This window comes from Homo sapiens, chromosome 8, assembly GCF_000001405.40.
Source record: "Homo sapiens chromosome 8, GRCh38.p14 Primary Assembly".
In the NCBI taxonomy this organism is placed as follows: Eukaryota; Metazoa; Chordata; class Mammalia; order Primates; family Hominidae; genus Homo; species Homo sapiens.
This window is the reverse complement of record NC_000008.11, coordinates 70282762-70295570: the sequence shown is the minus strand read 5'-3', so window position 1 is coordinate 70295570 and position 12809 is coordinate 70282762. Positions and strand designations below refer to the sequence as shown.

The window sequence follows — 12809 nt, the reverse complement described above, 5'->3', positions numbered from 1 at the left end:
GATATTTTGTGTATCCAAATATGCTTAATCAGGGTAGAATTAAGAAGATAACTCTTCCAATTCCACATTTATTTTGTCACTGTCCCAGAAGGTTCTTACAATCAAGTAAAGAACAAACCTGAAGGAAGTGTGGCAGCTTCTCGTCTCCATACTGGATCATATTAACATATTAGATGTGTTTTGTGGTATATTTATAGAGAGCAAAGTAGATTTGAAAGTTGTCCAGTTTATATCGCTGCAAACCAAATAAATTAATATTTTCCCACTACCTGCCACTTGATACAAAATGTAACTTATTTCGTTTTTTGTTTCTAGGTTGGGGAAATGTTTTGGTCATTTTCCTGCCCTATATATTGATGTGTTTGAACTCATTATCAAAGGTAGCGGTAGGCATAATTTTATAAGCTGACTACTTATTTCCTTTCCTTGTGTCCATGACAGTTTTCTTTGTGCTTCAGGATGTCAGTTGTTATTGGGTTCTTGTCTCGTTTTATTTTTTTGTTCTTTCTTACCTTTTTCAGACATTTGCTTCTCTTTCTGCCATCAGGATTTTTCATTTATAGAAGGAATTAAGTCTGACCTTTAAGAATTATTGAAAGTAAAATTTTAGGGATTATACAGCTGTTTCTGATTCACATCTATTTTACAAGTGCAATTTGCAGAGATTCTACTGATAATACTAATAACAACTATTACTTATTGCTCTTTTACTGTATGCTAGGCATTATGTAAGTGCCTTTTGGTTGTCTTCAAAATAACAGATAAGGAAGTTGAAGCTCAGAGAGGTTAAATGACTTTTCCAAGGTCATATCAAGTAAGAGGCAGTTTGCCACTCCAAAGACCTTGACCTTAACCACTGAGCTCCATTTTCTGCCTAAATACCCCTAGTACAAGAATATTTGTGACAACAATTGTAGTACATGAAAATCATATTCATATTTGAAGACTTCAAAATTAATTTAAAAGCCAAACATTATTTCACTTATATTTCATTAGGAGACCTTAACTTGTAATTGTTATTCCAAACTGAAACATGACGACTCATTTGAAATGTAATGATTACCTAAACTATTTAAGTTCTACTCTGAGACTTTGATTTTATACTCACAGATTATGGGTAGGGGCATGGGGGACAGCTATTCTAATTCCTTTTTCTGTTGTAAACATGATATGCTATTAATATGAATCAGCATTCTTTCTCTCATGCAATATTAGAAATTTTAGATTGTAAGTGGCATCTGTGGTTCATTGGATAAATCACTTTTCTTGCAAAGAACAGATTGTTTGAAATATAGTGACTATAGAATTACTTAGAACCTTTATCTTGAAAAATTTGATAGTTTGTATCTCTGGGAAAAATACTTTAACTATTGAAGAAATGAAGTTTAGTATATAGCCTTGCAGTATATCAGGAGTTGGTTCAGATAGAACTTTAGCTTCTCTTACTTAGTTTATTTTCAAAGCTGAGTAGGACATACTATGTAAAAATATAATTATTATATTTTGGGTCTTAAATTTATAAAGTGGACAAAATGTTCTGAAGGACAACTTTGTTGAATATACCTTAAGATTTTGATTTGAAAATATTATTATTTATATACTTCCTTAGACTTTCCAAAAGAGTTGTATCTATGAGTGTAAATGCAAATTCCAGATTTGAGTATATGAAAAATGGAATTCTGTAGTTTGAGTTAAAAAGACAAAACTTATTGAACAGACTGAACTATGATTTTTAATGTACAGCTAGGTCAGTATTTCCGTTCTAGTCTCACATTTTAAGCATTTTTAAAGTTAGCCAATAAAATTTACTTGGCATTGATAATCAAAACAGGAGCAAGAGTTATATAAATCTATTTGGCAATATAGCTTTGAAATGTAATTTTCCTTTCACTACAGAAAGTTGAACTCACTGTGGATTTATATAGACCTTGGATTTATTTATAAGTTTTCTCTGTGTTGGAAGATTTGGGTGGGAGGATAGGGTGAAGGTAGGTTGGTGAATTGTTCACACATGCTAAGTACAGCCCAACTCTTAAATACCAACATGGGGGAGAAGTTCTCCACTGTACAATAAAACACAATATATACTTCATGTAGTACCAGTTTACTTTGTTGTTGTGTACTAAGTGCTATATACTAAAAATTAAGCATATCAAGGCCTAAGAGAAACTTTGACCATATTGGATATGACATGGTTGAAATACATTTCAAATGAATATTTGTTGGAGTTTTTAATCCCTCCTTTGTTCATAGATGTGAGAAGATTTGTGATTAGATATCTGATTTAACTGGATGTATATGTATCCATGAAGATATGGGCACTTTGATTTGAGGTACAGGTATCAGGCTTTGGGCACTATCTACTGAAAATCAGTATTAATCTAAACTAAAATTGAGAATACTGAAATATATATCTTTTGCTTTAGGCAAAATCTGCCCATATTTATTTATATCACTATTTTTGTGGTATTTTCTTCAAATGACAGCATGGTAGGCACTGTCATCTGTAGAATTAAAAAAAAAATTTAAGTTGACAAAATGCCCTCAGTCATTTAACTGTTCAGAGTAGAATCACGATCCTGGTCTCACAGGGTAGACTCCTCTGCACTTAATACGCAGAACGGACTACTGAACTCAGGATGATGTAGGCTCACATTGAAATGATCTTCTGATGGGTGTTGTTGACACAAAGCCAGCAGTTGGAAACTGACAGGCAGTTTACTCTTTTCTTGTTGTTTTCTTCCTTTTATGTGCACACATTAGTGTGAACCGGTTAGCTTAGTTTTCCTCATTAAACTAAATCATTCAGCACCATTAACTCTCCTTTCTCTCTTCCTGACTTCCTTTTACCCTTAGGCCATCCCTAGCCTAGGCTAAGTGCTATAGGAAATACAAAGAATGGTTGCCAAAAATTATTAAATTAAAAAGGATTATCTATCCATGCAAGTTTAACTCCATGTTTCCTTGTTCGATATTTTTACATTGTGTTTAGGTTTTCTGATTCTTTTTTTTTTTTTTTTTCCTGAGATGGAGTCTTTGTTGCCCAGGCTGGAGTGCAGTGGCAAGATCACAGCTCACTGCAGCCTCTGCCTCCTGGATTTAAGCGATTCTCCTGCCTCAGGGCTGGGTGCGGTGGCTCACACCTGTAATCCCAGCTCTTTGGGATTCCCAGGCGGCAGATCACGAGGTCAAGAGATCGAGACCATCCTGGCCAACATGGTGAAACCCCATCTCTACTAAAAATACAAAAATTAGCTGGGCATGGTGGCGTGTGCCTGTAGTCCCAGCTACTTGGGAGGCTGAGGTGGGAGAATCGCTTGAACCCAGGAGGTGGAGGTTGCAGTGAGCCGAGATCACGCCACCGCACTGCAACCTGGCCACTGCACGCCAGCCTGGCGACAGAGCAGGACTTCCTCTCAAAAACAAACAAACAAAAAACAGGGCACTGATTTCTGAATTATATGTCTCCCTATTCAAAGTCTTTTTTTTTTTTTTTGAGACGGCGTCTCGCTCTGTTGCCCAGGCTGGAGTGCAGTGGGTGGATCTCAGCTCACTGCAAGCTCCGCCTCCCAGGTTCATGCCATTCTCCTGCCTCAGCCCCCGAGTAGCTGGGACTACAGGCGCCCGCCACCGCACCCGGCTACGGGGTTTCACCGTGTTAGCCAGGATGGTCTCAATCTACTGACCTTGTGATCCGCCCGCCTCGGCCTCCCAAAGTGCTGGGATTACAGGCGTGAGCCACTGCGCCCGCCCGGCCAACTTATTCAAAGTCTTAATCTGTCCATGTGAATCGAGGTTAAAGCAGTAGCAACAACAACAAAATGCTATCATTAGTAAATGTTTTGTTTATTACTTAGTGTTAACAGAGCTCTCAGAGTGTGCTCTTAGGAAGACACGCACCTCTTAAGGTAGGTGTGTCTTGCTTAGTGAGGTTGAACAAATCACAGTCCAGGCAATCTTCATTCTGCATGATGGCATTGCTGTCTTCATATGGACAGACAAGTAGAATGATGTTGGAAATCATGTATTTAGAATTAGACAGTAATTTAATTTTTTTTTCAGAATGCACAAGGATGTTGTTTCTTGGAGTATAAGAGAATTGAATTTTAGCTTAGAGCCACTTTACTGTGGGAGCAACTTTTTTTAAATTGAAAATTTCTAAGTGTGACCTCTGTTGGCATAGCTGGTATTCTTTGAAAGTAATTAAAATGAAAAGTATTACCAGTCCATATCTTGTGTAAATCTTTTGAGTTAGCATGTTTAGAGGAGGTAGGACTGGTGTCAGAATATTCTGAGAAAGTTAGGGTGGGCCATAATTTCTCAGCTATGCTTTCTGTACTAGAAAACAGGAGAGATTTATGCATAGGAGTGGGATAAGTGGTTTAATAGATTGTTAATAAAATACATATCTGTTTGTTGTTTTTGTTGTTGGTCCTTAGGGTTCAATTCAAACTTGAATATTCCACTTGTCTGGGTGGTACAGTTGTTAGCTTCAGGGAGAAGGTCTGTGACAAGTAGAATTTCACATAAATGCCACCACAGTAACTTTTGAAATACTTGGCATTAGATTTGGGTCAGTTAGTAGGATTTTTAGCTAGGCTGTTCACTTTCACTTTGGAAGGCAAATGCCAGATGTATGTTATTTTCTAGGCAGGTGCTGAATTTGAGTCAGCTAACTTTGCCAGAATCCCCTTAAAGATAAAATAGCAAGTAAAGTCAGGCTGTTTCCATCAAACACCTTATAGTTTTGTTTTTTTTTTAAGCTGAAATTCATACATGTTATTTTGAACCATTTATAACATCTAGATACAAGGGTCTAAATTAAGCATTTATAAAATTATCCATAGCCATGCAATTAAGTTTTTTTTATTTTACTGTGATTCTTTAGCATTAGGATATAGGTATTTCTATTTATTTTGACTTGTATTGCTAGCTTGAGACTCAGTATAATGGGAGAAAACCAGAGAAATTAACAGTAAGCTTTGCAAATTATGATTTTTATCTTAATTCCATGCATTAGGTTGTCTAAGCCTTGTTTGCTATTTCATGAATGATTCATGGATGTCTATAATCAATGGAAATAGGCCGGGCGCGTTGGCTCACACCTGTAATCCCAGCACTTTGAGAGGCCGAGGCAGGCGGATCACGAGGTTAGGAGATCGAGACCATCCTGGCTAACATGGTGAAACCCCGTGTCTACTAAAAATACAAAAAATTAGCCGGGTGTGGTGGCAGGCGCCTGTAGTCCCAGCTATTTGGGAGGCTGAGGCAGGAGAATGGTGTGAACCCAGGAGGCGGAGCTGGTAGTGAGCCGAGAAATCGCGCCACTGCACTCTAGCCTGGGCAACAGAGCGAGACTCCATCTCAAAAAAAAAAAAAAAAAAAATCAATGGAAATGTATTTTTTGGCCTAGGCACCATTATATTTTGCCTTCTCATCTACAAAGATTAAAGAGAAAGTAAGAAGTATACGTAGGGGTAGCATTTAGCTGAGGCCTAGGCACCATTATATTTTGCCTTCTCATCTACAAAGATTAAAGAGAAAGTAAGAAGTATACGTAGGGGTAGCATTTAGCTGAGCACAGTGGCGTGTTCTGTAGTCCCAGCTACTCAGGAGCCTTGAGGCAGGAGGATTGCTTGAGCCCAAGAGTTGGAGGCTGTAGTGTGTCCTGATTACCTGTGAATAGCCACTGCACCCCAGCTTGGGCGACATAGCAAGATCCAGTCTCTTAAAGAAAAAAAAAAGTGTGTAGCACTTAATAATGGCCAAGTAGGGAGTCAACATACAGTTTAAATCAATGTAGTCCAATTTTGAGGAGGATCTTTTAACTGCATGCTTCCATGCAAGGTTGCTTTTGTGGTGCCACTGTGTATGGAATTGTTTGTTTTCACTACTTTTTAAAAAGTAGAATTAAGGACTTCCTTTTTTTAAACCAACAGTTTTGGCTTTTTTGGTGCCAGTTACATAAATTTTACAAGCAGAAGTCACACATTAGTGTCAACCTAATGGTCTGGAAATTTGTTAACTATCAGTATGACAGAACCCCAGCATGGTTTTATCATGTTTCCCTGAGAAGTGAAAAGAACTGGGAAAGCAAGGATGTGATAGGCCAGAGTTTCAGTGGAAGGATGAATGGGGAAATTTTTAAGATACCTACCAGTGTTGGATATGAGTACTGAGACTTTTAAATCTTTACCTAGACTATAAAAGACTATCTTTAAAAGAAACAGCTGTGTCATAATTATTGAATTGGTAGCTTATTCTAGAATATAGAGAGTAGTGGCCAGTGAAAACAGTTCATCTCTCAACTTTTCAATTCTTTGTCATTAAAAAGGCTATTTGATCTAGATTACTAATTCTTCCTTTTAAGTGGCGGTTTTATTACAGTCCAGAAAACACTTCTGTTTCCTGGGTTATAAGACAGAGTATGAAAATAGAAGATAGTTTTGAACTCATGTATTTTGAAACTGTATCATGATTACTTACGCTATTATATTTGAATAGAATAGAAATATAAAATTCTTTGACTTAAACATCTATTGGACAAATTGGTTTGATGAGTTTCTTATTAATATAAAACAGTAGATTTTATTTTATTAACTGAGTAGAATTTAGATTTTTTTGTAACTAGATGCTTTGGGAACAGTTAAATTTTTTCTCTAATATAGAGGTTAGATGTTTAATTGTTGCTGCTGCTTCAAAATATTCACAAAATTTCATAAAATCTTTATTGTCTGACACATAAACTATTTGCACTTGTGCGCTGACATATTGCGTATCAAAGTCAGGTTCAAATTTCCTCTTTAAAGTATCTTTTGGAAATAGGAAATGATAGCCTTTTGTAAAATATTGCTGTTATCTTTTAAATGTATTTTTAACATATCCTAAATGCAGAAGCATGTTCCTTTAAACCGTAATGTGTGTGCCCTGTGTTTATCTATTTCCAATATTGTAATTTATTTCTTCCTTTTTTTTTTTTGTTTTTGTTTTGAGACAGGGTTTCGCTCTGTTGCCCAGGCTAGAGTGCAGTGGCGCAATCTCCGCTCACTGCAACCTCTGCCTTCTGGGTTCAAGCGATTCTCCTGCCTCAGCTTCCCCGAGTAGCTGTGACTAAAGGTGCGCACCACCATGCTGGCTAATTTTTTTTGTATTTTTAGTAGAGATGGGGTTTCGCCATTTGGCCAGGCTGGTCTTGAACTCCTAACCTCAGGGGATCTGCCCACCTTGGCCTCCCAAAGTGCTGAGATTACAGGCATGAGCCACACACCGGCCTATTTCCTCCATATTTTTAAAAGGAAAAAAAATAACCCTTCCTCTTTCACATCATAGTGAATAAAAAATTCTTGGAACTGAAAGATCATTTATAATAGCTAGCATGCCTATTGTGCTTATCATGTGCCAAGTAGTGTTCTAAGCCTTTCTCATAGTAATTCACATAATCCTCAAACCTATGATGTAGCTGCTATTATGATCCTATTTTAAAGACGGGTAGACAAAGGCACTGAGAAGTTAAATAACTTGCCCAGTGATTTGCACCTAATTAGCCAGTTAGAGGCCAAATTGGGAATCCAGCCCAATCTGGCATTTGCAGTTTTTGGCTTGTGAAACTTGGTTCTCTTAAAACAAACAAACAAACAAGCAAAAGACGGAGAAAGCCAAAAAAGAATTAACTAGTAATTTTCAAAATAAAGTTTCAGGCTGACTTTGTCATTATAGGTAAGGCTGTGACAAGGCTTAATGCTGTGTATGCCATTTTCTCTACAGTGAGGGTCTGCAGGCTCATATCATTGTGGCTACTAGCTAGACTGAAGTCCATGAAGTTGATAAATTGCCTATTTTATCAGACATGATAATCTGCCATTAATTAACAAAGGAAATGCAGGTTACAGAAATGATATTATGCTGTTTCGTGGCTTCAAATGAGGTTACACAGATAATGCTTTCAATAGGATGTGTGTTTAGCTTTTCTATTAACATGGTTATTTTGTTTTGAAAGATGGAAAAACAGGGCCCAGCCCTACTCCCTTTGATTCGTCTCTTTAAAAATGACTTCACAAGTTTTATTCAGTAAAAAAATTCTTAAAAAGTAATTTAGAATTCCCATAATCAGAAGCCTATATAGGACCTTTTTACGCAAAGTTGAAGAAAGTTTTCAATTCTAAAGCAAATTTCAGCTTTGATTTAGAAAAGAGTACATTCTTTTGTTCCAGCAGTGAAAAGAAAAAAATTTAAAAAAGAGAAAATACTACATTCTAAGAGTGACTAGAGAATCCTTTCAATTACTTTTAAAAACCTAATTAATTAATTAATTAATTAATATATTTTTTGAGACAGGATCTTGCTCTTTCACCCAGGCCGAAGTGCAGTGGTGCAGTCATAGCTCACTGCAGCCTCGACCTCCCGAGCTAGATTGATCCTCCTGCCTCAGTGTCCTGATTAGCTGAGATTACAGGTGTATACCACCACATCCGGCTAATTTTTGTATTTTTTTGTAGAGACAGGATTTAAGCATGTTGGCCAGGCTAGTCTCTAACTCCCGGGCTCAAGTGATCCGCCCATCTCTGCCTCCCTAAATGCTGGGTTTACAAGCATGAGCCACCACACCTGGCCAAAAAACCCTTAATTTATATTGGACAGTTTTTGTTTCATTTTGACTATATTTCAGATTATCATACCTTAACAGACATGGCCTTTTTATTTTATAAAATGTTAAGAAAAATAGGCCATCCTTTCTCTCAGATTTCCCCGGGTTTTGTTTTGTTTTAAATATATATAGGGGAAATTACAGCTGCTCTTTACAATCAATACACAGGGTTTTTGGTTGCTTATGAGTATCTGTGATATAATTAACAGTATTTACCATGAACACAAAAAGAGGTTTTAATTGCTTACTACCTAGAATTTACTTTATTCACAACTGCCGTTTTCTTTTTCTCTTGTCTTTTAAAGCAATTTCTAAGCATACATAGTAAAGATAATTTAATTAATAATGTGAAATATGTTTTTAGTGTTTGAGCAATTCATGCTGTTTCTTAAATCACTGGTTAAATCCACCTTTAAAATTTTATCTTTGAGTATTTATATTGTAGCTCACGGTTAAGTCTCTTGAAAAGTTTGTTTCATTTACTTTCTAGCAAGGGTTTGACCACATCTTTTTAAAACAGAGATGGAAATATATATGTATATTTCCTTTTCCTTTTTCTTGCTCTGTCACCAGACTGGAGTGCAGTGGCACAATCATAGCTCACTGCAACCTTGAACTCCTGGGCAGAGGTGATCCTCCTCCCTCAGTCAACATGCCCAGCTAATTTTTTATTTTTTTGTAGAGACAAGTCTCGTTATGTTGCCCAGGCTGATCTTGAACTCCTGGGCTCAAGTGATCCTCCCACCTCAGCCTCCCAAAGCACTGGGATTACAGGCATGAGCCACTGTACACAGCCTGGAAATATTTTTTATACATTAGAATATAAAGAAGTGCAAATTTAAGAAGGAAACTTTTCTTGCATACCTACATTCTGCTAGGCATAATATGCTTTTTATTTCATCAAATTCTTACCAGTAGCTTGGGAGAGAGAACTTACCCCATTTTTAGCTGAAAACACTAAGGTATAGAGAGATGAATTAAATCATATTGTCAGGTAGGTAGTTCTGGAATTTGAACCTGAAACTATATATTTCCAAAAATCTCTTTCTGATATGACATAGAGCCTCCTCTAGTGATACAAATGGAACTTGTTGATTACATGAAAGCCCTGATTTGTTTTTCATTCCCCATCCAACCGGTAGCATTTTTCAATTTAGTCTGTACTCATTTCTGGAGCAATGATAGTGCATGCAGTAAAGTAGTCATGTTTTAGGTATACAGAAGCAATATATATAGTCCTACCCACATCTTACGGTGTAGTAAGAGAAATGGCAAACATTAAGTTACGTGAATGGGATTACAAAGCAGTGTATCAACAAATGTACAATAATGTAGTAGGCATAGAGTGCAGGAAGGGCAGTGGGCACTGTGCCCATGGCTGTCTGTCTCTCAGTGTTCTTCGCCATGTGCGTATCTTGCTATGAAGGCTACAACCTGCCATCTATTTTAGATCATCACAACAGGAGTAGTTAGAAATGAAACACAGAAATAAGGGGAATCTTGATTAATGGGACTCAAGTGCCAAAAGGTAGGAAAATGACTCTTGGTTATCATCTTAGCTGAAGTATGTGAGCACTTAATGGTGGATGCTGTGTTCTAAACCTTGTCTAACTACATAGTAAATTTATTTGCTAAATGATAGGAACTCATAACACTTGGGTATCTACAGGACTCTAAGTAAATTCTTGTTGATTTTTAATTTTCTTACTAGACCTTAATAAATTGTATCTGATATATTTTCTATTTGAAGAATACCTCTAGTTGAAGAAGTATAAAACATGGTTAAGCATGAGGCTCTCAAAAGCTATCATGAATATAAGGATATTATAAGACCATGTCCTTTTTATAGGTAGTCACCTGTAGCTACATCAGATGGAAAGTGTAGAGCAGGTCTGGTTTTATTGAGCATATAATGTAAAGCCTACCTTGAGGGTCCTTTATTCTTGATACCAACTTGAGTCTAATCTGTTCTCCCCGTATAGATTCTACTTCCCTGCTCCGTGGGACATCTGTTCTTTTTCTAGTATGTGGTTTTTGTGTTGAGATAATTCTCTCCCCGTCTCCCCTCTCCCTTCTCCCTTCTCCCTCTCTCCTGTCTCCTCTCTCCATATTGTGCCTTAAAAGTCTTCACTTATGCTGCCAGAGGGTAGAGGCAAAGCTTCTTTCCTAACAATCTCATGATACGTTGAAATCCCCTTCAGTAATACACACTCTCTTCCGTACACCACACCCACACACACAACACACACACGTTCTCCCTCATTTGTATATACCATCCCTTAAGAATGGATGCTCATTAAGTTAGCCACAGATTATCTGAAGTTACCTGATAGGCAGTTTGTAACAAAGGGGGATGGGAGAAGGTGGCTGAGAGGGTTAAAGTCCCTCCCTATTATAGTCTTCCCTTTCTAGCTTTTTAGGAACAAATGAGTATCATGAGAGCTAAAGACCTTCAGAAAGTGAGGATAAACAACTACAAAATTTATTTTCTAGGACATTGCTCTCTTGAAAATCACTGAGTATTTCTACTAATTTTCTTTTAATACATGTTTTCTTTGTGACTACTTCCTTGCCTCCATCTACTTCCACCCTGTCAGGCCTCCTTTTAGAGGGAGAATAGGAGTGAAAGAGAAAGAGGAGGACATTTATTTTTCAAATTTGTATCCAAGGAGGGCTTCACACAAATTCTCACTTGAAAGCACCGTCCAGAGATTCTGAGGATGAGAATCTAAAAAGAGTTATAAAAGTGGTGAAGCATGTTACCTGTGGACCCCAGCAGATGATCATTTGTGTTCTTCAGCCTCTCTCATCCCATTTCTAGTGCACCTTGCTGTTTTCAAGGGGTGTTGTCATTCTTGGCAGTCATCTAGTGAGGAGAGGGGGCTGTTTCTAACATGGAGGGGAATGTTGCTTATTTATTCAAGAGGAATACTTCTAAACATTGTTATTGCTAAATATGTTATTGTAAACCTGGAGAAAAGGGGAAGAAAAATCATTCAATTAGACAAATAAATGTAGATTGAGCATCCCATATCTGAAATCCTCCAAAATCTCAACTTTTTGAGCACCAACATGACACTCAAAAGGAAATGCTCACTGGAACGTACAGGATTTCAGATTTTTGGATTTGGAATGCCAACTAGCGAGTGCAATGCAAATATTCCAAAATCTGAAAAAAACCAGAAATCTGAAATACTTCTGGTCTCAAGCATTTTGGGTAAGGGACACTTATCTTGTATTATTTTGACATATTATCAGAAAATACTGTATAATGGTAGGTAGACAACATAAAGACTTTTAATACCTCTTTACTGATTGTTCTACCAATTACTATAGCAAATAAAAGTTAAGGCTGGGCTCTTTGATCTTTGTGTCTTACATCAGAAAAAGGTGTAAGTGAACCAAACATGCATAAGAGTCAGTGAGTCGGTAATTCACCCACTTGTTCCCAGGTGGTAGCTGTGAGATCTTGTGCAAATTGTATTTGTTGCCTGGACTCAATACTGAAAGCAGTCTGAAAGATTGCTTCTAGAAATCTGTTGTGACTCTGCACTTAAAAACTCATCAATGACCATTTTAAATGCATCATTTTGGTATTACGAATACACATCTCCACTTTGAGAGTGAAGGAAAAAAATGATACAATTTAACTAATGTCCCTAAGAACAACTAGTCGCACCTATCGATGGCAAAGTTTAAATTCCCCATTAGTTTTCTGATTTTTGCCTAGAATATCTGTTGGAAGCCTCTCTTCAATTTCGTGGATAAACCAAGGAAGATACCAGTGTTAGCACTGAATTACAGAATGTGTTCACTAGAAGATAAACTAGTAGATCCTGAGTTAAGTCAGCATGAACCAGAGTCCTGGGGCCAAGCTCTGTCTGTACTGAATTTTATTCTCAGTGTTTAGCCCTGCTTGTGGGTGGCCTTCTGGATGTTTACTAAAATGAAAATTCAGTTTTTGTGAACAGACACACTCATTCATATGTGTGCTCACATGCACACACACTGTGAGTACATTAGTATTTTAGAAAATGGGGACACTGAGATCACTCTGGAGCGTCATTGCACATCAGATGTGGGTCCTGTCACTTGGGTTTAATATTACACCAACCCTAGTAGTATCCAGCTGACTCTCTTATTAGCAATATTGAACGAATCATGG

General features: G+C 37.2%; 1 protein-coding gene across 41 annotated transcripts in view, besides 1 other annotated feature; it reads left to right on the top strand.

Annotated features, from left to right (window-relative positions):
- The window catches only part of NCOA2 (nuclear receptor coactivator 2), a 346665-nt gene that overhangs the window by 160876 nt on the left and 172980 nt on the right, over positions 1-12809 (top strand). For 13 of the 41 annotated variants that reach the window (XM_047421262.1, XM_047421247.1, XM_047421234.1 and 10 more), the window contains exon 3: positions 316-380. The exons of the other annotated variants lie outside the window; for them this stretch is intronic. The gene's annotated coding sequence lies outside the window, so the exon portion shown is untranslated. The remainder of the gene's footprint in view (positions 1-315; positions 381-12809) is intronic. 41 annotated transcript variants of the gene reach the window in all.
- Positions 3339-4079: an enhancer, noted in NCBI's record as "H3K4me1 hESC enhancer chr8:71203727-71204467 (GRCh37/hg19 assembly coordinates)". NCBI's record gives its function as "activates a minimal SCP1, AML or CMV promoter by ChIP-STARR-seq in primed H9 embryonic stem cells {active_cell/tissue: H9 hESC(primed)}" and the evidence as "EXISTENCE:reporter gene assay evidence [ECO:0000049][PMID:30033119]".